The sequence below is a fragment of the Homo sapiens genome, chromosome 12, assembly GCF_000001405.40.
Source record: "Homo sapiens chromosome 12, GRCh38.p14 Primary Assembly".
Taxonomy (NCBI): domain Eukaryota; kingdom Metazoa; phylum Chordata; class Mammalia; order Primates; family Hominidae; genus Homo; species Homo sapiens.
The window spans coordinates 123,232,911-123,258,496 of NC_000012.12; the positions used below are offsets into that span (position 1 = coordinate 123,232,911).

Below are 25,586 nucleotides of genomic sequence, written 5' to 3' on the forward strand. Positions count from 1 at the left end.
GCTCCCACACGCCGAAGGGCTCCGAGGGGGTCAGGCCAATCGGCAGCCGTCACCCCACACCCCAGCCCATCACCACACTCAAGGGGCCGCTAAGACAGTGTCTCCTAAGTCTCGTCTCCTGTCCCCAGCGGCCTACAGCTCCCTGCAGGCTGGTGGCCGCTTACCTGGCCGCCGCTCCCGCTGCCGATGTCAGGGTCATGCAAGCGGCCTCTCGCGACCGTTACCCGAGGGAGCGCGCGCGCGCCCGGCGTCTCTCCAGTGATTGGCTGCCCGGAAGGAGGCGGAGACAGCCTCGCATGGCGCGCGCGTCCACCTCGCCGTTCCCCCTCGCGCAGCTCCAACCAAAGAGAGACATCCAACCCCGGGGGAGTGACAAGGGGGCGGGATTGCTGTGAAACTCTCTTCTCTGATTGGCTCTCTGGGAGCCAGCCGCTGCCACGAGGGAAAGAAGCTTCAGTTTCTCGCATGCGCAGTGAGTAAACATGAGCCTCTGGTAGATAAGAGAAACCGCGATCGGAGTACGGCGCGTGCGCAGATCAGGGATCGCGATTGCGAATCCTCCGCTGAGGTGATTTGGATATCCCTAGAACGTTGAGGGCACGAGTCGGGTCCTGAGACCAGGTAAGCATCTGCGGAGAAGCCAGGTAACCCTACGGCTGCCGACGACTGTCAAAGGCTCCGGAGAGAGGACTGCGAGCCGGGACGCCTGGGTTTTTCCCGACTTGCGACCCCGAGTGGCGCAGCCAGTTTACCTGAGGCCGCGCTGGCGGTGGGGTGGGGCCGGCCGTGACACCCGAGCTCAGTTTTCTCGGGACCTGGTTTACGCTAGGTGCTGTGGGTCGGCCCTGGGGCTGTTCAGGCACTCAGGGCAGGGGAGAGGAGAGACTACCGTCCTGGAGATAACGGTTCCACGGAGGCCCAAGGCGAAACGGAAGGATCCTCATGTACAAAACTGAGCGGAATGGAGCTGTGAGCACGCATCAGGTGCTGTTTCAGGCCTGGCACGTAGTAGAGGTCAGCACTGCCCTTGCTAGGCTTTTGCGGAGATACTCGTTTTTTTTTTAATAGACGTGGGGTGGGGGGGTCTCACTGTGTTGCCCAAGCTGATCTCGAACTCCTGGCCTCAAGCGATCCTCCTTCCTCGGCCTCCCAAAGTGCTGGGATCACAGGCGCAAGCCACCCAGCCCTACTTTTGAAGGACCAAAGGGAACTCGCTCTCCTCCCCGTGGGACCCCAGCCCATTTCATGCGCACTGTGCAGGCCACATTCTTCAGCATAGTTAACCTTTAAGGTCTTTCCAGCTACTCGATTTACCTCCAGGAGTTCTGGCTCACAGTAAAGGGACTTCCCTGGCACTATCACTTAGGCCTCCACAACCCAGGAAATGGATCTGCCCTTGGAATAACAGATCTGCCAGGAGGCGTTACATCTCATTGGAGCTTCCTAAGTATACCTACCAATTTTTTTTTACTTTTTTTATTTTTGTGGGGGAGGGGGGTAGGGGGGACAAGGTCTCTCTCTGTCACCCAGGCTGGAGGGCAGTGGCGCGATCTCGGCTCACTTTAACCTCTGCCTCCCGGGTTCAAGTGATTCTTCTGCTTCAGCCTCCCGAGTAGCCGGGAATACCGGTGCCCGCCACCACATCCGGCTAATTTTTTGTATTTTTAGTAGAGACGGGGTTTTGCCATATTGGCCAGGCTGGTCTCGAATTCCTGACCTCAGGTCATCCTCCTGCCTCGGCCACCCAAAGTGCTGGGATTACAGGCATGAGCCACCACGCCTGGCAATTTTCAAAGGGTAAATTTGATGTTATCCTATCTTTCATGATTTTTTAAATTATATTACATAATTCCAAAAGATATTTTATGTTTAAACCAGGACTTACTTCATTGAAGATGGTTTTATCTTTCAGTGTGAACCTGCTGGGAAGTCAGGCTATATTTTTGGCATCACAGTGATCTCCTTAGTACCTGATTTCACAGACCAGAATTATGATCCCACCAAATAACATGTTTTCAGTAATGTCATGGCTTATCAAGTACTTCTTAAATTGGACCATACCAAGTAAAATAATTTACAAGCCACTGTTGTAGATGCCTTTTCACCCTAAGCTCTAAAACAAAGGCCGATGAAATAATCAGTTCCCAGACTGGGTTTGTGTCATAAGACAACAGTGTATGTGGTGTGTCATTCCAAAGTTCCTCAGCCTTGTAGTTGAGAGATCTGACATGCTCCCATTTAGTGACCACTAAGTACTTTACATTTATGGCAACATGTATGATTTTGTTCGCACTCTAGGTAGTAGTATCTCCATTCTACAGATGAGGAATTAGAGCCAAAGTTACCCAGTAAGTAAATTGTGGCATTGAGACATTGAACGCAGGTCTGTTGGCCACAGAGCTCGCAATCCTTGGCAGGAAGGCCTTTTTGGGACAAAAGAAAAAATGAGAGGAGTCGTCAAATACAGAAAGTCAGGCTGGTCCAAACGTAGTGAGTTTTGTGTGTGTGTGTGTGACAGAGCTCAGCTCACTGCAAGCTCCGCCCCCCAGGTTCACGCCATTCTCCTGCCTTAGCCTCCCTAGTAGCTGAGACTACAGGTGCCTGCCACCAGGCCCAGCTAATTTTTTTTTTTTTTGTATTTTTAGTAGAGATGGGGTTTCACCGTGTTAGCCAGGTTGGTCTCGATCTCCTGACCTCATGATCCACCTGCCTCGGCCTCCCACGGTGCTGGGATTACAGGCGTGAGCCACCGCGCTCGGCCTGGTAGTGAGTTATCTTAATTAATTGTTCACAGTCACAGATCAAACTTCTTGTTCTACTCTTTCCCCCTTCTCTACTGTACTTGACTAGTCTTTTTAAAAAGAGAAAGTTGGCCGGGCGTGGTGGCTCATGCCTGTACTCCCAGCACTTCGGGAGGCCGAGGCAAGCGGATCGCTTGAGGTCAGGAGTTCGAGACCAGCCTGGCCAACATGGTGAAACCCCATCTGGGCTAAGAATACAAAAATTAGCTGGGCGTGGTGGCTGGTGCCTATAATCCCAGCTACTTGGGAGGCTGAAGCAGGAGAATCGCTGGAACCCGGGAGGCAAAGGTTGTAGTGAGCCAAGATGGTGCCACTGCACTCCAGCCTGGGCAACAGAGTGAGACTCGTCTCAAAAAAATAAATAAATAAAAACTTAAAACAGAAAAAGTTAAGGAAAAGGAGCTAACATTGCCTAAGAAACTGGAAAAAGATCTGGAGATATGAAAGGTAATGAAACAAGGTGTAGAAAGGATAATTTAGTTTCAAAAATTGAAAACCTAATGGTTTCCAAGATAGGTCTTACTGAGATAATCAGGAAGTGTGCATCTCTTATTTTCTTTATTTGTATTAAATACAATAATGTATTTGAAAGTGCTTTGCAGCTGCACGTGGTGGCTCACGCCTGTAATCCCATCACTTTGGGAGGCTGAGGCAGGAGGATTGCTTGAGCCCATGAGTTCGAGACCTGCCTGGGCAACATGGCAAGACCCCATCTCTACAAAAAATTAAAAACTAGCCAGGTATGGTGGTACACACCTGTGGCCCCAGCTACTGGGGAGGCTGAGGCAAAGAAGCTTGCTTGAGCCCAGGAGGTCAAGGCTGCACTGAGCCATTTTTATGCCACTGCACTCCACTTGGGTGACAGAGGGAGACCCTGTCTCAAAAAAAAAAAAAAGAAGAAGAAACTGCTTTGGTTTGTATATGTTTAAGTCCTAAACAAACACAAGGCATCGTTAATAGAAATATAGGCTTTGAGACTTTTGGAAGAAAATATACAGTGTTGTTATTCCTGCTTTTTTAATGTGTTTCTGTTTTAATAGTGTAGTTGATAAATTATAAAGTTCCCGTTAGATGCCATAAATAGAACAAATATGGGGCCGGGCGCGGTGGCTCACACCTCTCAGCACTTTGAGAGGCCGAGGCGGGCGGATCGCCTGAGGTCAGGAGTTCAACACCAGCCTGAGAAACACGGTGAATCCCCATCTCTACTAAAAATACAAAAAATTAGCCAAGCGTGGCGGCATGCGCCTGTAGTCCCAGCTACTTGGGAGGCTGAGGCAGGAGAATTGCTTGAATCTGGAAGGCGGAGGTTGCAGTGAGCTGAGATTGCGCCACTGCAGTCCAGGCTGGGTGACAGAGTGAGACTCCGGCTAAAAAAAAAAATAGAAGAAATATGATACACACAAATAGCACAGGTGTAATTCTGTGGATTCAAAGTTTTCTGCTTAAAAAAAAATAAACGGGGCCAGGCACTGTGGCTCACGCCTGTAATCCCAGGACTACGGGAGGCCAAGGCAGGCGCATCACCTGATGTCAGGAGAAACCCCCGCCTCTACTAAAAATACAAAATTAGCCGGGCATGATGGCAGGTGCCTGTAGTCCCAGATACTCAGGAGGCTGAGACAGGAGAATCACTTGAACCTGGGAGGCAGAGGTTGCAGTGAGCCAAGATCACGCCATTGCACTCTAGCCTGGGTGACAAGCGAAACTCCGGCTCAAAAATAAAATAAAAATGAACGAGATGTTGGGATTGTGTGAAGTGAATGTTTTCCTCTTTACTTCATTAGCTATCTCTTGAATTCTGCAGCATTAAGCATTCAAGCATTAAGCCTGTTAAATTTAGACCAGACCTAGAGTAGTCTCTTTTTCCTCCCGTCCGCCAAAATCAAAGACTACAGCTCTGCATTTCCTGCTCAATCTATTATGCTTTCCTTGTTTGAGAAATAACTATCTGCAAACACTTACTGTGAGTGAAGGGTGCTTTATCTTCAGCGTAAAACCCCAAGTCTAGGAAATGGCATGGTCTGTTTCAAGCCTTACCAGCAATACTCACTGGTTCCATTTGAGAGGTTTCAGCCCTTAAGGATTTCAGATACCTACAGCAGGAGGATGAGCTAACAGGAGGATGTGAAAGACAGGGAAATGCTACTTTCTTTTTAACTACCATTTTACAGACAGCACCAAAACACTTTTTTTTTTTTTGAGACGGAGTCTCACTCTGTCACCCAGGGTGGAGTGCAGTGGTGTGACCTCAGCCCACTGCAACCTCTGCCTGCCAGGTTGAATCCATTATTCTGCTGCAGCCTCCCGAGTAGCCGGGACTACAGGTGCACACCACCACATCTGGCTAATTTTTTGTATTTTAGTACAGAGGGGGTTTCACCATGTTGCCCAGGCTGGTCTGGAACTCCTGAGCTCAGGCAATCCACCCTCAGCCTCCCAAAGTGCTAGGATTACAGTCATGAGCCACCACACCCAGCCCCAAAACACATTTTTGAAACATGAATTATTATTATTAAGCATTTGTCAGAAAATCATTTTCCCCTCACTTAGCTTCTGGCACCACCTGCTGGCCGTTTTGTCTTTTCAAAGCAGCAACATTGCACGTTGGTCTGTTTAAGCTCAATGTTGTTTGGCCCTTAACTGTTTATTAGGTCATTGTTTTGAGACCTATGGTTTCATCTCCTTCTTAAGGAAGAGACAAGACGGAATAAGCAGGTAATCAGCCCTCCTGAATTCTTGTCTCAGTTTCTTAAATGTCATATAAATAAGAAACATGCTGGGCATGGTGGCTCATGACTGTAATCCCAGCACTTTTTGAGACCGAGGCAGGCAGATTGCTTGAGCTCAGGAGTTTGAGACCAGACTGGGCAACATGATGAAACCCCATCTCTACTTTTTTAGAAAAGAAAAAGAAAAGCTTTTAAAAGTGTCTGTCCTAGCAATCAGAAGAACTTGCTGATTCCTGTGTTCTGGAACAATGCTTGTCAAATTTTATGTGCCTCTGCATCACCTGAGGATCTTGTTAGGCTGCAGGTTCTCATTTGGTAGGTCAGAGCAGGGCCTGAAATCTTCATTCCTAACCATCCTCCACGTGGTGCTTTTGCCACTATGTGGACCACACTTTGGGTAGCAAGATTCTAGAGCTACATTGTCCCATAAAGTAGCCACCAGCACATGTGGCCCAAACTGAGATGTTCTGTAAGTATGACCATAACCTAGAATTTGAAGCCTTCATATTTAGGGGGAAAAAAGAATATCTCAATTTTAAAATATTGGCTGGGTGCAGTGGCTCACACCTGTAATCCCAGCACTTTGGAAGGCTGAGGAAGGCAGATCGCTTGAGTTTGAGTTCCAGACCAGCCACAGCAACATGGTGAAACCCCGTCTCTACAAAAAATCCAAAAATTAGCCAGGCATGCTGGTACATGCCTGTAGTTCCAACTACTCAGGAGGCTGCGGTGAGAGGATGGCTAGAGCCTGGAAGGCAGAGATTGCAGTGAGCTGAGATGGCGCCACTATACTCCAGCCTGGGTGATGGAGCCAGACTGGTCTCAAAATAATAAAACGTTGATCACGTGTGGAAATAATAGTTTTGATATATTGGGTTAAATATACATTTCATCATTTATTATTTCTAATGTAACTACTAGAAAATTTAGAATTTCACATGTGGGTAGCATTAGTTTTGTTTTTTTGTTTGTTTTTTTGAGACAGAGTTTCACTCTGTTGCCAGGCTAGAGTGCAATGGCGCAATCTCGGCTCACCGCAATCTCCACCTCCCAGGTTCAAGCGATTCTCCTGCCTCAGCCTCCCAAGTAGCTGGGACTACAGCTACGTGCAACCATGCCCAGCTAATTTTTTGTATTTTTAGTAGAGACGGGGTTTCACCGTGTTAGCCAGGATGGTCTCGATCTCCTGACCTCATGATCTGCCCGCCTTGGCCTCCCAAAGTGCTGGGATTACAGGCGTGAGCTACCGCGCCCAGCCCAGTAGCGTTAGTTTCTATTGGACACCACTGTTCTAGAACATTAACACAACAGAGGTGACATTTTTTATTTTTTTTTCCCCCAGATGACCCAGTTTCCCAATCTCCTTGTTTCCATGTCACCATCTCTGCTAGCTCAAATCAGTATTTGTTTAATTCTTTTCTTGGGACGATTTCCTTGCCCTCCCATCACACTCCTTTACACCTTCTCAGCCTTCACCATTGCCATCATGATCCCAGGGATCTCATCAAGCAATGAACAGTCCTATGTGCCAGAATACTAGCAGCATCCTTGTTTAAAGCACTTAGCCTTGCCATGGGGTGTGGGGCCTGGACCAGCAGCAACAGCCTCATCTGTGAGCTGGTTAGAAATGCAGAGCCTCGCCGGGCAAGGTGGCTCACGCCTGTAATCCCAGCACTTTGAGAGGCTGAGGCTTGTGGATCATCTGAGGTCAGGAGTTCGAGACCACCCTGACCAACACGGTGAAACCCCATCTCTATTAAAAATACAAAAAAAAAAAAAAAAAAGCTGGACGTGGTGGTGGGCACCTGTAATCCCAGCTACTTGGGATGCTGAGGCAGGAGAATTGCTAGAACCCGGGAGGCGGAGGTTGCAGTGAGCAGTCAGGGTGACGGAGACTCCGTCTAAAAAAAAAAGAAGAAGAAATGCAGAGCCTCAGGCCTCGCCCCAGACCTAGTGAACCAGCATCACAAGTCACAAGACTCCCAGGTGATTTGTATGCACATTAAAGTTTGCATGGGGAGACTGGCTGGTGAGTACTTTAACAATCTTCGTAAAGCACACTGTTTCAGTTAGTCTCCGCACCTGTTCCTTCAGTTAGTTTTAATGAAGTTTCTGCAAGGTTTATATACCATGAAAGTTGTAGCTAAGGTAAACTAGTGCTTTACCTTTCAAAAAAAAAAAACAAACAGTGAATTTTAGATAAATGGCGTCCAGAAGGCAGGTCCAGAGATTGACATCTCATGCTTTCCTGAAAATAGATTAAATATCCTTTATTTTATTGACCTTTTTTTTTTTTTTTTTTTTTTTTGAGAAAAAGTCTCACTCTGTACCCCAGGCTGGAGTGCAGTGGCGTGATCTTGGCTCACCACAACCTCCGACTCCCGAGTTGAAGCGATTCTCCTGCCTCAGCCTCAGCACACCACTGCACCCAGCTAATTTTTTGTATTTTTAGTAGAGATGGGATTTCACCATGTTGGCCAGACTGGTCTTGAACTCCTGACCTCAGGTAATCTGCCCACCTTAGCCTCCCAAAGTGCTAGGATTACAGGTGTGAGCCACCACACCCAGCCTCAAATATCCTTTAACCTTTTCAGAGACACGAAATGAAAGGCATTACCATCCTCTTTACTTCTCTCCAAAGTGAGAGCTGTTGATGACACAGCATCACCTCCTACATCTAGGCTTTTATTTGGGGTTGTTTTTTTTTTGTTTTTGTTTTTTTTTTAATAAAAGAGATGGAGTCTCACTATGTTGCCCAAGCTGATCATGAACTCCCAGCTTCATGGGCTCCTCCCACCTCAGCCTCCCAATATGCTGGGATTTCAGGTGTGAGCCATCACACCCAGCATTATTTTATTTTTTATTGTATTTTTTATTTTACTGTTTTTTGTTGTTGTTGTTTTTTGAGACAGAGTCTCGCTCCTTCAGTCTTCGCCCAGGCTGGAGCGCAATGGCGTGATCTCGGCTCACTACAACCTCTGCCTCCCGGGTTCAAGCAATTCTCCTGCCTCAGTCCTCCCAAGTAGCTGGGACTACAGGTGCCCACTACCACCCCCAGCTAATTTTTTGTATTTTTAGTAGAGACGGGGTTTCACCATGTTGGCCAGGATGGTCTCGAATTCCTGACCTCAGGTGATCCACCTACTTCAGCCTCCCAAAGTGCTGGGATTACAGGCACGAACCACCATGCCCAGCCTATTTTGTTTTTTAGAGATGAGGTCTCCCTATGTTGCACAGGCTGGAGACAGCTTCTGGGCTCAAGCAATCCTCCCACCTCAGCCTCCCAAGTAGCTGGGACTGTAGGCTATTATCTTGTTTGCTCCGGCCACAGGCCTTGTTGCAGAGTTGAACATGCCATCCCTGCAGATAGTCTGTCTTGGTTTGAGTTGAATTTGGAAGCTGGAGGAGGGGTGTGCTGACCAGATCCAGTCATGAAGAACGCCACTCAGTAGCACATAGGTTTCAAATCCTGACAGCAAGCTCTCCAGGAGGATGAGGGGCATAGAAAGTTTGAGAACCACTGCTCTATAGTATGTTATCCATCCTCAGCTATCACATGTATCCTGTTTGTGCTTGTCTTCATTTCTCTTTTATGCTACAGACTCTTTAGGCTCTCTGAAGCCCATGCCTGATACTCAATAGATGTTTTAAATATTCTTGCACAAATTAATGTTCCCTTTTGTAAATTCCTTAGACCTGTTATCTCTGAACTTAACCAAGTTGGAAGGGACTGAAGCAATGACAGGAGCTTTCACCTTAACTGCGATCAGCCATTTAGTGCAGAAGCCATCATCAAAGGAAAAGTAGAGCCTAGGGAGTCAGGGTAGAGCGCCAGCCCTACGCCGAAGCTCACGTTTGAAGAAGGGAACTGGGGCAGAGCTGTCATGACTGCTGGTTTCCTCTTACTAGCACTTCTCTGTACCATTTTTCTTTTTCTCTTTTTTCATGTCACAATGAGCTATAATTTGAGCTGCTTTTATTGTTCCCTAAAGACTTTGGATTACTCTGTATCACAAACACTGAAATCCAATTCGTATTTTTTTGGCCTTTGGGGAAGTGGAACCATGGGTGTGTTTGTCATTTTTAGCAGTCATTGGAGTAGGGCCAAAGCTCCAGGAGATACTAAAAGTGTCTAGAATTGTCTGATTGGCTGTTGGAATTAACTGTTAAACAAAGCAGCCAGTAACTGAACACCGGAGACCTTCTTGAACTCCAGCTGGGTGGGAGACCTTCCAGTGTGTCTGGCAGCTCTGAACTAGGACAGAAAGGTAGAGATTCAAACAGTGGACTGGTGACAAAGCAGCTGATAAAAGCACTCTCATCTCCATCCTTTGTCTGGGAGTCTCGCCTTGCCTTGGAATCACTTCCTCTCTTTTTCCCTGCACTGGTTTGTGCCAGCGCTGTCCTGCCTGGTCACATTTACCAGCTAGCGGATGAGAAACTCAGAAGTGCGGGGCTCATGTTCCATAATGAATTGAATCCGGGACTACAGGCTGCCTGATACACAAATGAATTTTGTTTTGTGGATTGAAAACAGGAATAAGGAAAGATAAGTTTTGGACATTGACTTAGTCTACTCAATCTTTCGTAGGTAAGGTGATTCTTAGAGAGAGTTCAGAGAAAGTGCCTGGGTTTATCATTTATCTTTTTCTAAGGTATTTGATTTTATACACATTTCATACACATTAAACAAAACCAGTTTTTAAAGCACCACTTTCCTTGGCACACTCCATTTCAAAGTATATCCCTTCACAGTCATGGAGCATCTTGCCAATACCATCTTTTAAAACAATTTTTTTTTTTTTGGCTGGGCGCAATGGCTCACGCCTGTAATCCCAGCACTTTGGGAGGCCGAGGCGGGCGGATCACGAGGTCAGGAAATCGAGAACAGCCTGGCTAACATGGCAAAACCCCGTCTCTACTAAAAATACAAAAAATTAGCCGGACGTGGTGGCAGATGCCTGTAGTCCCAGCTACTTGGGAGGCTGAGGCAGGAGAATGGCGTGAACCCGGGAGGCGGAGCTTGCAGTGAGCCAAGATCACACCACTGCGCTCCAGCCTGGGCGACAGAGCGAGACTCCGTCTCAAAAAAAAAAAAAAAAAATACAAAAATTAGCTAGGTGTGGTGGCACGTGCCTGTAGTCCCAGCTACTCGGGAGGCTGAGGCAGGAGAATCACTTGAACCCAGGAGGCGGAGGTTGCAGGGAGCCGAGATCGCGCCACTGTACTCCACCCTGGCGACAAAGCAAGACTCCGTCTCAAAATAAAAAATAAAAAAGAAATAGCAGAAGTAGAGATGAAGGATATCATATTGTCACTCTAAAGGTGACCAGTGTCATCTCAGTATCACTGTACTGGTTACTAACCTAGAAGCTTACATGTAAAGTAACAGGAAATGCACATATTTACAAGAAAGCAACGCCTGATCCCATGTCTCCATCCTGCTTCCTCCTCAGTGGGTATCTATCTGGATCTCACAGTGGGCTCAAGAGACAGCAGCAGGCTCAGGGGAAGTTGACCGAGGGTGAGGTGGACAGGCTGGGAGCAAAGCTGTGGAGTGATCTGCTGGATGTCCAGTTACCTTAGAAGCTGGCTCCCACCTAGATCAGACACCAGTTGCCATGACTACAGTTTATGAGGTTTCAAACACTAAAAGAAGCTATTTAGAGCCTCATATGAGGCAGTTGCTTAATAAGAGCAGCACAGGCCGGGCGCGGTGTGGCTCACTCCTGTGATCCCAGCACTTTGGGAGGCTGAGGCTGGTGGATCACCTCAGGTCAGGAGTTCAAGACCAGCCTGACCAACATGGAGAAACCCTGTCTCTACTAAAAATACAAAATTAGCCGGGCGTGGTAGCACATGCCTGTAGTCTCAGCTACTCAGGAGGCCGAGGCAGGAGAATCACTTGAACCCAGGAGGCAGAGGTTGCAGCGAGCCAAGATCGCGCCATCGCACTCCAGCCTGGGCAGCAAGAGCGAAACTCCATCTCAAAACAAAAAACAAAAAAAAAGCAGCACATCTGTATTTAGTGCCTACTACATAATCTACTAAGTAATCTTCAATAAAGATGCTCTAACCAAGTGGTACTTTTGCAGTTCCCGTAATCCTCCTGGGTGACAGAGATTTTACTACAAATCAGCCTCAAGCCTTGAAAGGAATCAACAAAGCCCTTTCTAGAATACTTTTTTCTGTGATCTTTTCTTTTTTGAGACAGAGTCTCGCTCTGTCACCCAGGCTGGAGTGCAATGGTGTGATTTTGGCTCACTGCAACCTCCGCCTCATGGGTTCAAGCGATTCTCCTGCCTCAGCCTCCCAAGTAGCTGGGATTACAGGTGCGTGCCAACACACCTGGCTAATTTTTGTATTTTTAGTAGAGATGGGGTTTCACCATGTTGGTCAGGCTGGTCTCGAACTCCTGACCTTGTGATCTGCCCGCCTCAGCCTCCCAAAGTGCTGGGATTACAGGTATGAGCCACCGCACCCGGCATTTTTTTTTTTTTTTTTTTTTTTTTTTTTTAGACAGAGTCTTACTCTTGTCACCCAGGCAAGAGTGCAGGCAAGCTGCACCATCTCAGCTCACTGCAACCTCCACCTCCTGGAATTCAAGCAGTTCTCCTGCCTCAGCCTCCCGAGTAGCTGGGATTACATGCGCCCACCACTGCGCCCGGCTAATTTTTTGTATTTTTGGTAGAGACGGGGTTTCACCATGGTCTCGATCTCCTGACCTCGTGATCCACCCTCCTCGGCCTCCCAAAGTGCTGGGATTACAGGCGTGAGCCACCACGCCTGGCCCTACGTGCCTATTTTTATACCAGTACCACGCTGTTTTGGTGACTATGGCCTTATAGTATAGTTTGAAATCAGGTAATATGATGCCTCCAGATTTGTACTTTTTGCTTAGTCTTGCTTTGGCTATGTGGGCTCTATTTTGGTTCCGTATGAATTTTAGATTTTTTTTTCTAATTCCGTGAAGAATGATGGTGGTGGTATTTTGATGGGGATTGTGTGGAATTTGTAGATTGCTTTTGGCAGTATGGTCATTTTCACAATATTGATTCTACCCATCCATGAGCATGGGATGTGTTTCCATTTGTTTGTGTCATCTATGATTCCTTTCAGCAGTTTTGTAGTTTTCCTTGTAGAGGTCTTTCGACTCCTGTGTTAGGTATATTCCTAAGTTTTGTTTTTGTTTTTTGTTGTTGTTGTTGTTCGTTTTTGCAGCTATTGTAAAGGGGGTTGAGTTCTTGATTTGATTCTCCACTTGGTCGCTGTTGGTGTATAGAAAAGCTACTGATTTGTGTATGTTAATCTTGTATCCAGAAACTTTGTGAATTCTTTTATCAGTTCTAGGAGCTTTCTGGAGGAGTCCTTAGGGTTTTCAAGGTAAACGATCACATCATTAGCAAACAGTGACAGCTTGACTTCCTCTTTATGGATGTGGATGCCCTTTATTTCGTTATCTTGTATGATTGCTCTAGCTAGGACTTCCATACTGTGTTGAAGAGAAGTGGTGAGAGTAGGAATTCTTGTCTTGTTCCAATTCTCAGGGGGAACAGTTTCAACTTTTCCCCATTGAGTATTATGTTGGCTGTGGGTTTGTCATAGATTTTTTTTTGCTGGTTTTGTTTTGTTGTGAGACAGTCTCGCTCTGTCACCCAGGCTGGAGTGCAGTGGGGCGATCTCAGCTCACTGCAACCTCCGCCTCCCAGGTTCAAGCGGTTCTCCTGCCTCAGCCTCCCGAGTAGCTGGATTACAGGCATGCGCCACCACGCCCGGCTAATTTTGTATTTTCAGTAGAGACGGGGTTTCACCATGGTTAGGCTGGTCTTGAACTCCCAATCTCAGGTGATCCACACTCCTCGGCCTCCCAAAGTGCTGAGCCACTGCACCCAGCCTCAGTTTGAAGAATTTTTTAATTTCCATCTTGATTTTGTTTTTGACCCACTGCTCATTCAGGAGCAGGTTATTTAATTTGCATGTATTTGCATTTTTTGTTTGTGGGGTTTTTTTGGTGTTTTGTTTGTTTTGAAACGGAGTTTTGTTCTTGTGCCCAGGCTGGAGTGCAAATGGCACAATCTCGGCTCACTGCAACCTCCGCCTCCCAGGTTCAAGCAATTCTCCTGCCTCAGTCTCCCAAGTAGCTGGGATTACAGGCACCTGGCACTACACCCAGCTAATTTATTTGTATGGTTTTGAAGGTTCCTTTTGGAGTTGATTTCCAGTTTTATTCCACTGTGGTCTGAGAGAGTGCTTGATATAATTTCAATTTTTTTTTTTTTTTTTTTTTTTTTTTTTTTTTTTTTTTGAGATGGAATCTCGCTCTGTCGCCCAGGCTGGAGTGCAGTGGAGCAATCTTGGCTCACTGCAAGCTCCACCTCCCGGGTTCACGCCATTCTCCTGCCTCAGCCTCCCCAGGAGCTGGGACTACAGGCACACACCACCACGCCCGGCTAATTTTTGTATTTTTAGTAGAGACAGGGTTTTACTGTGTTAGCCAGGATGGTCTCAATCTCCCGACCTTGTGATCCACCTGCCTCGGCCTCCCAAAGTGCTGGGATTACAGGCGTGAGCCACCGCTCACGCCTAATTTCAATTTTCTTAAATTTATTGAGGCTCATTTTATGGCCTGTCATATGATCTCTCTTGGAGAAAGTTCCATGTACTGTTGAATAGAATGTATATTCTGCAGTTGTTGGATGAAATGTTCTATATATATCTGTTAAGTCCATTTGTTCCAAGGTATAGTTTAAATCCATTCTTTGTTGACTTTTCGTTTTGATGACCTGTCTAGTGCTGTCAGTGGAGTACTGAAGTCCCCCACTATTATTGTGCTGCTGTCTATCTCATTTCTTAGGTCTGTTAGTAATTGTTTTATAAATTTGGAAGCTCCAGTGTTAGGTTCATATATGTTTAGGATTGTGATATTATCCTGTGACAAGGCCTTATTACCATTATATAATGTCCCTCTTTGTCTCTTTTAACTGCTGTTGCTTTAAAGTTTTTGTCTGATACAAGAATAGCTACCCCTGCTTGTTTATGGTGTCATTTGCATGACATGCCTTTTTCCACCCCTTTAAGTTTACGTGAGTCTTTATGTGTTAGGTGAGTCTCCTGAGGGCAGCAGATGGTTGATGAGTTCTTATCCATTCTGCAGTTCTGTATCTTTTAAGTGGAGCATTTAGGCCATTCACATTCAATGTTAGTATTGAAATGAGGTACCAGCTGGGCACGGTGGCTCATGCCTGTAATCCCAGCACTTTGGGAGGCCAAGGTGGGCGGATCATGAGGTCAGGAGATCAAGACCATCCTGGCTAACACAGTGAGACCTCATCTCTACTAAAAATACAAAAAATTAGCCGGGCGTGGTAGCGGGCACCTATAGTCCCAGCTACTTGGGAGGCTGAGGCAGGAGAATGGCATGAACCTGGGAGGCGGAGCTTGCAGTGAGCCATTATCATGTCACTGCACTCCAGCCTGGGCAACAGAGTGAGACTCTGTCTCAAAAAAAAAAAGAAAGAAATGTGAGGTACCATTGCATTCATTGTGCTCTTTGTTGCCTGTGTACTTTAGGGGTTTTTTGGTTTTGCTTTTTAACTTGTATTTTTGTTTTATAGGTCCTGTGTGATTTATGCTTTAAAGAGGTTCTGTTTTGATGTGTTTCCAGGATTTGTTTCAAGATTTAGAGCTCCTTTTAGCAGTTTTTGTAGCAGTGGCTTGGTAATGGTGAATTCTCTCAGCATTTGTTTGTCTGAAAACAACTATCTTTTCTTCATATGTGATACTTAGTTTTGCTGGATACAAAATTCTTGGCTGATAATTGTTTTGTTTGAGGAGGCTGAACATAGGACCCCAATCCCTTCTAGCTTGTAGTGTTTCTCCTGAGAAATCTGCTGTTAATCTGATAGGTTTTCCTTTATAGGTTACCTGGTGCTTCTGTCTCACAGACTCTTAAAATTCTTTCTTTCATTTTAACTTTGTCCGGAATTGGTGGGTTCTTGGTCTTGCTGACTTCAAGAATGAAGCCACGGACCCTCATGGTGAGTATTACAGCTCTTAAAGATGGTGTGTCCAGAGTTTGTTCCTTCAGATGTTCAGATGCATCCAGAGTTTCTTCCTTCTGGTGGGTTTGTGGTCTCGCTGACTTCAGGAGTGAACCTGCAGACCTTCGCAGTGAGTGTTGCAGCTCTTAAAGGCAGCACAGACCCAAGGAGTGAGCAGCAGTAACATTTACCACAAAGACCAAAAGAACAAAGCTTCCACAGTGTGGAAGGTGACCCGAACGGGTTGCACTGCTGGCTCAGGCAGCCTGCGTTTATTCCCTTATCTGACCCCACCCACATCCTGCTGATTGGTCCATTTTACAGAGAGCTGATTGGCCCATTTTACAGACAGCTGATTGGTCTGTTTTGACAGGGTGCTGATTGGTGCGTTTATAAACCTTGAGCTAGACACAGAGTGCTGACTGGTGCATTTACAATCCTTTAGCTAGACACAAAAGTTCTCCAAGTCCCTAGATTTAGCTAGACACAGCACTGATTGATGTGTTTACAAACCTTCAGCTAGACACAGAGTGCTGATTGGTGCATTTACAATCCTTTAGCTAGACACAAAAGTTCTCCAAGTCCCCACTAGATTAGCTAGACATAGAGCACTGATTGGTGCATTTACAAACCTTGAGCTAGACACAGGGTGCTGATTGGTGTATTTACAAACCTTGAGCTAGACACAAAGTGCTGACTGGTGTATTTATAAACCTTTAGCTAGACATAAAAGTTCTCCAAGTCCCCACCCGACTCAGGAGTCCAGCTAGCTTTGCCTACTGGATCCCATGCTGGGGCCGTGGGTGGAGCTGCCTGCTAGTCCCACACCATGCCCCCGCACTCCTCAGCCCTTGGGCGGTCAATGGGACTGGTTGCAGAGCAGGGGGCGGCGCCCGTCCGGGAGGCTCTGGCCATGAGGGAGCAGGGCAGGGGGAGGGGGGGACTCAGGCATGGCGGGTTGCAAGTCCCACGCCCTGCTCCACGGGGAGGCAGCTGAGGCCCAGCGAGAATTCAAGCACAGCCCGGGTGAGCTGGCAGTGCTGGGGGACCCGGCACACCCTCCACAGCTGCTGGCCGGGGTGCTAAGCCCCTCACTGCCTGGGGCCGGCGGCACCAGCCGGCCACTCCTAGGTCGGGGCCCGCCAAGCCCTCACTGGCCCGCGAGCTCTCCCTCCACACCTCCCCACAAGCGGAGGGAGCCCGCTTTGGCCTTGGCCAGTCCAGAGAGGGGCTTCCACAGTGCAGCGGCGGGCTGAAGGGCTCCTCAAGCACAGCCAGAGTGGATGCCGAGGCCAAGGAGGCGCCGAGAGCGAGTGAGGGCTACTAGCACATTGTCACCTCTCATTTGGATAACCTGATGACAATATGCCTAGATGAAGATCTTTTTGCAATGGATTTCTCAGGTGTTCTTTGTGCTTCTCGTATTTGGATGTCTAGGTCTCTAGCAAGGCCGGGGAAGTTTTCCTCGATTATTCCCCCAAATATGTTTTCCAAGCTTTTAGATTTCTCTTCTTCCTCAGGAACACCAATTATTCTTAGGTTTGGTCGTTTAACACAATCCCAGACTTCTTGGAGGCTTTGTTCATATTTTCTTATTCTTTTTTGTCTTTGTTGGATTGGGTTAATTTGAAGACCTTGTCTTCGAGCTCTGAATTTCTTTATTCTACTTGTTGAATTCTATTGCTGAGACTTTCCAGAGCATTTTGCATTTCTAAAAATGTGTCCAAAGTTTCCTGAATTTTTTATTGTTTTTTCTTTAAGCTATCTATTTCCCTGAGTGATTTCTCCCTTCACTTCTTGTATCATTTTTTGGATTTCCTTACATTGGGCTTCACCTTTCTCTGGTCCTTCCCTGATTAATAACTAACCTCCTGAATTCTTTTTCAGGTAAATCAGGTATTTCTTCTTGGTTTGGATCCATTGCCAGTGAACTAGTATGTTTTTTGGGGGGTGTTGAAGCGTCTTGTTTTGTCATATTACCAGGGTTTGTTCATTTGGGTAGGCTCTGTCAGAGGGAAGGTCTAGGGCTGAAGGCTGTTCAGATTCTTTTGTCCCATGGGGTGTTCTCTTCATGTAGTACTCTGCCCCTTTTCCTATGGATGTGGCTTCCTATGAGCCAAACTTGCAGTGATTGTTGTCTCTCTTCTGGGTCTAGCCACCCAGCGAATCTTCCCAGTTCCAGGCTGGTACTGGAGGTTATCTGCAGAGTCCTGTGATGTGAACCATCTATGGGTCTCTCAGCCATGGCTACCAGTGCCTGTTCGGTGGAGGTGGCAGAGGGTACAATGGAGCTTTGGTGGGTTAATGGTCTATTTTTTTTGCTGGTTGGCCTCCTGCCAGGAGGTGGTCCTTTCCAGAAAGCATCAGCTGTGGTAATATGGGGAGGAACCAGCAGTGGGCGGGGCCCTAGAACTCCCAAGATTTATTTGCCCTTTGTCTTCCTGCCAGGGTGCATAGGGAAGGACCATCAGGTGGGGGTGGAGCTAGGCGTGTCTGAGCTCAGACTCTCCTTGGGCGGGTCTTGCTGCGGCTGCTGTAGGGAATGTGGGTGAGATTCCCAGGTCACTGGAGTCGTGTACCTAGGAGAGTTATGGCTGCCTCTGCTGAGTCATGCAGGTTGTCAGGGAAGTGGGGGAAAGCTGGCAGTCACAGGCCTCACCCAGCTCCCACACAAACCCAAGGGCCGGTCTTACTCCCACCGTGTTCCCCCACAACTGCCCCGAGTCTGTTTCCAGGCAGAGGGTGAGACTGGCTTGAAAATTTGCCCCAAGGCTGTGCCCCTCCCAGCAGCGAAAGAAAAGGGCTGTAGTTCTTCCCCCACCTGTGAAGTCTGCATGCTGGATTCGTGCAGTTGCCCAAGTTCTGGCCAGGAGGCTTCTCACCCTGTTTAAATTGTTACGAAGTTCGACTAGAGAATTCTTCTCCCTGTGGAGTTTTATCCCTTGCTCCTCTGGCCACCCTCCCGATGGATCCCTGTGGTGCCAGGCAGGAATGGGCCTTCTGGGGACCCAGCGAGCTCCCACGGCCTTTCTGCTGCTTCCTCTACCCCTGTAGTTCGCTCTGCTGAGTCTGACTTAGCTCCAGGTAAAGTTGGAAATTTCTCCTGCAAACAGACCTTCAGCCTCTCCAGTGGGGGGGTGTGTGTTCGGGAGAGGAGGATCTCCCTTTCCCACTTCCACAGTTGGGGCACTCACAGTATTTGGGGGTCTCCCGGGCCCTGCAGGAGCAATCCGCTTCCTTCAGAGGGTCTGTGGGTCCTCTCAGGATTGCTGGTTTGTTCTTGCAGTTGATCTAGAGCTAAAATTCACAATGCAAGCCTCTGCATGCTGCTCTGTCTGAAGCTACAATCTAGTCCTGCCTCCTGTCTGCTATGATCCCAGGAGCTCCCATGCAAATAAATTATGATCACAAGGTCCCAAAATAGGCTGTCTAGAGCTGAGGAGCAAGGAGAGCCAGTCTGAGTCCCAAAACTGAAGAACGTGGAGTCTGATGTTCAAGGGCAGGGAGCATCCAGCACTGGAGAAAGATGTAGGCAGAGAGTCTAGGCCCATCTCATCTGTCTTTTAATATCTTCTCTAACTAACCTGTAAGCTCCAAGAAGACAGTCCAGCTCTTTTTCATCTCATGTCCCTTACTGTACCTAACAAGGACCTTATTAAAAGTTGACTGGCTGGATGCAGTGGCTCACGCCTGTAATCCCAGAACTTTGGGAGGCTGAAGCAGGTGGATTACTTGACCTTAGGGAGTTCAAGACCAGCCTGGGCAATATGGCGAAACCCCATCTCTACAAAAAGTAATTACTCAGATGTGGTGGTGTCTGCCTGTAGTCTTCACCTACTAGGGAGCCTGAGGTGACAGAATCGCCTGACCCTGGGGAAGTCAAGGCTGCAGTGAGCTGTGATCGCGCCACTGCAGTCCAGCCTGGGCGACAGAGTGGGACTCTGTCTCAAAAAAAAAAAAAAAATTAGTTGACTTGGTAGTTCCAACGATGAGTACCAGTTGGACCACGTTGTTGGCAGTGCGTCCAGGGAACAGATGTTCACATTCAAATCCATGAAACTGGAAACAAAAAACAACAATCATGACATTGATTGATAGTGATGTTTACTATGTCAGACTGTTTAAGCTCAGCTATAAAATAGACTACTCAGCCCTGGGTGGGGGTGGGGGGTGGCTCACACTTGTAATCCCAGCACTTTGGGAGGCCGAGGTGGGCAGATCACCTGAGGTCAGGAATTCGAGACCAGCCTGGCCAACATGGTGAATCCCCGCCTCTACTAAAAATACAAAAATTAGCCGGGTGTGGTGGCACACGCCTGTAATCCCAGCTACTCAGGAGGCTGAGGCAGGAGAATCACTTGAACCTGGGAGGCGGAGGTTGCAGTGAGCCAAGATCGCGCCATCGCACTCCAGCCTGGGCGACAGAGCGAGATTCCGTCTCAAAAAATAAAATAGACTCTCATACTGTCATCTTTACATTTTGATTTCAGAGATTCTCAAACATTTAAATACTGGCACTTGACCCAGATCCTAATTTTTGCTTGATGCACTATTTACCTGTATCAAATTACAGTCCGTTCCTTTGAATTTTTTTTTTTTTTTTTTTTTTTTTTTTTTTTTTTTTGAGACACTGTCTCGCTCTGTTGTCCAGGCTGGAGTGCAGTGGCTCTGCCTCAGCCTCCCGAGTAGCTGGGATTACAGGCACCCACCACCAAGCCCGGCTAATTTTTGTATTTTTAGTAGAGATAGTTTCATCATCTTGGCCAGGCTGGTCTTGAACTCCTGACCTTGTGATCCACCTGCCTCGGCCTCCCAAAGTGCTTGGATTACAGGTGTGAGCCACCATGCCCGGCCTGAATTTCACACTCAAAACCTCTCCTTTCTGAGAAAACAGCACCCCCGGGTGCTTGGAAGATATTTTTGGTCTATTGCAAGAAAATATGTATTAGCTGGCAGGGCATGTCCTGGTAACATGGCAGACAGTGCAAGGCTGAGGAGAGGGGCGTCTTGCTGAATAATGTGTCTCTACTCATTTCCTAAATTCCCTCGGTAACAGATGGGTCATCATTTGAATTGCTTTATAAAAAGCTGTCTTTGAATCTGAAGCATAATCTTGAGGGCAGATGCCTCTTACTGAAAGCTCTCCTTATTCATCTAACCCAGGTCCTCAGCCAGCAGAGCCACGTTCCTTATGAGCACCGTGGGTTTATTTCATTTTCCTACACCACTGACCCGAATATGCCCGGCGCCATGGGGACTCCGGCTTTGGGAGAAGCTGACGTTGTTATCCCCAGGAATAGCTGTCACTCCGGTCCAGATGGCAGGCAAGAAGGACTACCCTGCACTGCTTTCCTTGGATGAGAATGAACTCGAAGAGCAGTTTGTGAAAGGACACGGTCCAGGGGGCCAGGCAACCAACAAAACCAGCAACTGCGTGGTGCTGAAGCACATCCCCTCAGGCATCGTTGTAAAGGTAGATCACAGAAGGCCGCTGAGGGGAGAGGCCCCGCCCAAGGGTTCCACAGCCTCCAGAGATTTCTCCCAAGTGTGAATGGGATCAGCCGAAGTGCATTATTTTTCTGGCTTGGGCCACCCTCTACCAGCCAGGCAGTAGAGAGCACCGCAGATCTCGTCCCATCCCTGAGCCATTCCTCCCTAAGGCAGAACCTCCTACAACAGCCTGGGAAGCCTGTTTCCAGGATCTTTTGGAGCCAGGGTATGGCTGCCATCCTTGAATTTGGCAGACAGCACTGGTGCTTGGCTGCTGCCCCGGAAGCAACGTCTTGACAAAGCTAAGCAGTGGCTGATAAAGGCAGGCGCCCGGGCAGCATGGTTCTTTCAAATCCGTTCCCACTGCAGGAAGGCTGCCGAGATCCCCAGCATTGCTATGGGATCCAAGTCCCTGAGGAGGCGGCAAGCAGGCATGGGTTGTCTGCTGGCAGTCCCAGCCCTTAACTGTCATGGCTGGTTAACATTAGGGTGGCCACATCCTCCACGCCTCTCTGTCCCCTTTGGTAAATGTCGGTGATACCTCCTCTTCTGGACAGAGAGGACTGAGGGCGAGATCATGGAGGATCATGGAGGCCAGGCATTTTCCAACCTCAGAAGAAAAAATGCTGTGCACAGCTGCCTATAGGAGTCTTCCTTTTTACATAAAAAAACAAGTCTCGGGCCAGGCACAGTGGCTCATGCCTGTAATCCCAGCACTTTGGGAGGCCGAGGTGGGTGGATCACCTGAGGTCAGGAGTTCGAGACCAGTCTGGTCAACATGGCAAAACCCCATCTCTACTGAAAATACAAAAATTAGCCGGGTGTGGTGGCGCGTGCCTGTAATCCCAGTTACTCGGAGGCTAAGGCAGGAGAATCGCTTGAACCCTGGAGGCAGACATTGCAGTGAGCCGAGATCATGCTACTGCATACCAGCCTGGGCAACAGACAAGATTCCCTCTTAAAAAAAAAAAAAAGAAGGTTGGTCAGAGGGGCTCCCAGTCCATCTGCCTCAGGGATCACGAGAGAGTCCTGGAAGCAGCACAGAAGAGAGATAGCCAAGGCAGGTGTTTCATATATAACGATACTGGCAGCAGATACTTACAGGTCATGGAAACGTGTGGGAGGAACTGTTCGAAGCAGCATTAACTCTGCAGTCCCCAAAACCCCATGTTCATGATTTCCATCACAGTACAGGTGTGGAATCTGGGACATAGAGAGGCTAAGTGACCTGCCCAAGGTCCTGCCACTCAGTAGTCAGTTCACACCATACCCCAAGTCCATGTTCCTAACAGCTGCACTTCACTGCTGGGTTTCTGAGCCACAAGCATATCATGTAAAACCTCAATCATTTCTTTTCCCCCTTGAAAAGTGTCATTCATGAGTAACAAAATTCTGAAACCTGAGAGTTAATTTTTGTTTAACCTATTTGACATAACTCAATCCAAACTTGCTTTCAGAATTATTCTTTAACCCTAATTTCATAGAATTTTTTTTTTTTTAAGAGACAGGGTCTTGTTTTGTCAGCCAGGTTGGAGTGCAGTGGTGCAATCATGGCTCAGTATAGCCTCAAACACCTGGGCTCAAGCAATCCTCCCGCCTCGGCCTCCCGAGTAGCTGGGACTGCAGGCATGCCCCACCACACTCAGTGTTTTTTGTTTCGTTTTGTTTTTTGAGACAGTCTTGCTCTATTGCCCAGGCTGGAGTGCAGTGGCGCAATCTCAGCTCACTGCAACGTCCGCCTCCTGGGTTCAAGCAATTCTCCTGCCTCAGCCTCCCGAGTAGCTGGGATTACAGGTGCCCATCACCACGCCCAGCTAATTTTTTTGTATTTTTACTAGAGACAAGGTTTCACCATGTTGGCCAGGCTGGTTTCAAACTCCTGACCTCAAGTGATCCACCCATCTTGGCCTCCAAAGTGCTAGGATTACAGGCATGAGCCACCACGTCCGGCCATCCAATCTTTACATTTTTGGTACAGATGGGGGGTCTTGCTATGTTGCCCACGCTGGTCTCAAACTCCAGCCCTCAAGTGATCCTCCCGTTTCAGCCCCCAAAGCATTGGGATTATAGGTGTGAGCCACTATGCCTGGCTTAAGATTTATCTTTTATCAAACAGCTTTGCAAGGCACTCACCCTATAATAACTGAGGCATTACACAGTGAATGAGTTATGGCTGACTAATAATAAAGATGCTATTTTCTTCCTTCAGACAGAACTTTATGCTTATGAATGGTGCACACAAAGTGGTTGTTAACTGGCCACAAGCTAGATACATCAGTTGATACTTTCATAATTATTTTGCGACTTTAAGTTATTTGAAGGCCACTGTTGCTTCTAAACAAAATAGCACTCCTAATGATTAAAACAATCACACTGAAAGCCACATAATACAGCAAGGGTATGGGACACAGGGCAGAGGCAGGAAAGGGGCTGGTCTTCACTGTCACTGACTCATGGGGACTCCTGATAAGGGGCTTTGCCATCCAGGTTTGTCCCTCTCTATAAAGCGAACAGGTTGTCCTGACCAGCCTGGCCAACATGGTGAAACCCCATCTCTACTAAAAATACAAAAATTAACTGGGTATGGTGGCGTGCGCCTATAATCCCAGCTACTTGGGAGGCTGAGGCAGGAGAATCACTTGGACCCAGGAGGCGGAGGTTGCAGTGAGCCAAGATCACACCATTGCACTCTAGCCTGGATGACAAGAACGAAACTCTGTCTCAATAAATAAATAAATAGTAAATAAAAAAGCGAACAGGTTGAATTTAATGACTTCTGAGGTCCTGTCCATTTTTAACATCCTGTGGTTTTCACATTATAAAATATTATCTCTTACAGTGCCATCAGACAAGATCAGTTGATCAGAACAGAAAGCTAGCTCGGAAAATCCTACAAGAGAAAGTAGATGTTTTCTACAATGGTGAAAACAGTCCTGTTCACAAAGAAAAACGAGAAGCGGCGAAGAAAAAACAAGAAAGGAAAAAAAGAGCAAAGGAAACCCTGGAAAAAAAGAAGCTACTTAAAGAACTGTGGGAGTCAAGTAAAAAGGTCCACTGAGAAAAGAATTAGAGATTCCAACTGACAGAATCTGCCAGAAGCTCCCAGGGAATAATGGTGGCGAGTTCCATCACCAGCATTATTATAGTGCTTCAAAAGAAATATTTTTGATGAACTTAAAAGACAACAAATTTATTTAAATGGTGCACTAAACTGTAGTGAACAGAGACATGCACGATTCAAGAATAAAACTCGGCTGGGCACGGTGGACGGTGCCTCACATCTGTAATCCCAGCACTTTGGGAGGCCGAGGCGGGCGGATCACTTGAGGTCAGGAGTTTGAGACCAGCCTGGCCAACATGGTGAAACCCCGTCTCTACTAAAAATACAAAAAATTAGCCAGGCATGGTGGCGGGCACCTGTAATCCCAGCTACTCGGGAGGCCGAGGCAGGAGAATTGCGTGAACCTGGGAGGCGGAGGTTGCAGTGAGCTGAGATCGCGCCACTGCACTCAAGCCTGGGCAACACCTGGGTGACAGAGCGAGACCCCATCTCAAAAAAAAAATAAAACTAGTTCAAGTGCAATGACACACGCCTATAATCCCAGCACCTTGGGAGGCTAAGACAGGAAGATCACCTGAGCCCAGGAGCTCAAGATTGCAGTGAGCTATGAACACCACTGCACTCCACCTGTCCACTTGTTCTTGTGTGACAGAACAAGACCCTGTCTCTAAAAAATAAGATAAAACCATAAAGAAACACAGTCAGTACTATACAAGAATAATGGCTACTTCTAGAGGGAAGGAGTTGTCATTGTGATGAGGCACTTGGAGGGGTTCTGGGGTGCCTGACAAAGTTCTGTTTCTTCACCTGGGTGGTAGTTAGAAGGGTGTCCCCGTATTTCAAATTGTACCTTTGTGAGATTGTATGTTTTGTAATAATAAAATTTTTTTTGTAATTAGTAAAGTCAATTTTTATGGAGAACTGGAGAATGGAGTCAAACATTAATAGCATTTCTTGGCAACTTGCCATCTGCTGGGAAGCTGCTGCCCAGTGACACTTAAAAGTCAGTTATCCCCATGTCAGCTCAAGACAGTAAGAGAAAACAAGGGCCGGGCATGGTGGCTCACGCCTGTAATCCCAGCACTTTGGGAGGCTGGGGCAGGCGGATCATGGAAGTCAGGAGTTTGAGACCAGCCTGACCAACATGGTGAAACCCCATCTCTACTAAAAATACAAAAATTAGCCAGGCGTGGCAGCACACGCTTGTAATCCCAGCTACTTGGGAGGCTGAGGCAAGAGAATTGCTTGAATCTGGGAGGCGAGGTTGCAGTGAGCCAAGATTGCGCCATTGCACTCCAGCGTGAGCAACAGAGCAAGACTGTCTAAAAAAAAAAAAAAAAAGAGAGAAAATAAGAGGGTTGGAAGAGCTAAAGGCTCTGTTCCTTGTCCATGTGCTCTATTAGCTTCTAGGCTGTATGATGCCCAGTTGTGCCTCTGATGTAGAAACAAACACATTCCCTGC

General features: G+C 47.4%; 2 protein-coding genes across 27 annotated transcripts in view, besides 4 other annotated features; one reads left to right on the forward strand and one right to left on the reverse strand.

The window, feature by feature from the left end:
* The window catches only part of MPHOSPH9 (M-phase phosphoprotein 9), a 91,679-nt gene extending 80,587 nt beyond the window's left edge, over positions 1–11,092 (reverse strand). For 20 of the 21 annotated variants that reach the window (NR_103517.2, XM_047428066.1, XM_047428065.1 and 17 more), the window contains exon 1: positions 165–231. The gene's annotated coding sequence lies outside the window, so the exon portion shown is untranslated. Of the gene's footprint in view, positions 1–164; positions 232–10,942 lie in introns of those variants that run through there. The other variant, XM_017018673.2, reaches the window with a different exon arrangement.
* Positions 4–243: an enhancer, noted in NCBI's record as "active region_7255". NCBI's record gives its function as "activates an Ori minimal core promoter by ATAC-STARR-seq in GM12878 lymphoblastoid cells {active_cell/tissue: GM12878}" and the evidence as "EXISTENCE:reporter gene assay evidence [ECO:0000049][PMID:35858748]".
* MTRFR (mitochondrial translation release factor in rescue) lies at positions 4–25,050 on the forward strand. 6 transcript variants are annotated; one of them, XM_047429877.1, is made up of 3 exons: positions 4–472; positions 20,737–21,046; positions 23,903–25,050. In XM_047429877.1, exons 2-3 carry the CDS (start codon positions 20,765–20,767, stop codon positions 24,119–24,121), a joined length of 501 nt encoding a protein of 166 aa, XP_047285833.1. In that variant the 5' UTR covers positions 4–472; positions 20,737–20,764; the 3' UTR covers positions 24,122–25,050. The 6 variants fall into 6 exon arrangements, with proteins under 6 accessions (XP_047285833.1, NP_689482.1, NP_001181924.1 ...); NM_152269.5 differs by lacking the exon at positions 4–472 and adding an exon at positions 526–621; NM_001194995.1 differs by lacking the exon at positions 4–472 and adding an exon at positions 571–1,014 and having other exon boundaries at positions 23,903–25,049.
* Positions 4,605–4,654: an enhancer, noted in NCBI's record as "active region_7256". NCBI's record gives its function as "activates an Ori minimal core promoter by ATAC-STARR-seq in GM12878 lymphoblastoid cells {active_cell/tissue: GM12878}" and the evidence as "EXISTENCE:reporter gene assay evidence [ECO:0000049][PMID:35858748]".
* Positions 5,265–5,464: an enhancer, noted in NCBI's record as "active region_7257". NCBI's record gives its function as "activates an Ori minimal core promoter by ATAC-STARR-seq in GM12878 lymphoblastoid cells {active_cell/tissue: GM12878}" and the evidence as "EXISTENCE:reporter gene assay evidence [ECO:0000049][PMID:35858748]".
* Positions 17,670–18,459: an enhancer, noted in NCBI's record as "H3K27ac-H3K4me1 hESC enhancer chr12:123735127-123735916 (GRCh37/hg19 assembly coordinates)". NCBI's record gives its function as "activates a minimal SCP1, AML or CMV promoter by ChIP-STARR-seq in naive H9 embryonic stem cells {active_cell/tissue: H9 hESC(naive)}" and the evidence as "EXISTENCE:reporter gene assay evidence [ECO:0000049][PMID:30033119]".

What these genes read in the sequence shown, in the direction of transcription:
- MTRFR (XM_047429877.1), top strand. Translation starts at nt 20,765, where the DNA reads ATGAGCACCGTGGGTTTATTTCATTTTCCTACACCACTGACCCGAATA. An exon ending in CCTCAGGCATCGTTGTAAAG is followed by an intron (nt 21,047 to 23,902) that starts GTAGATCACAGA and finishes TATCTCTTACAG; the next exon opens with TGCCATCAGACAAGATCAGT.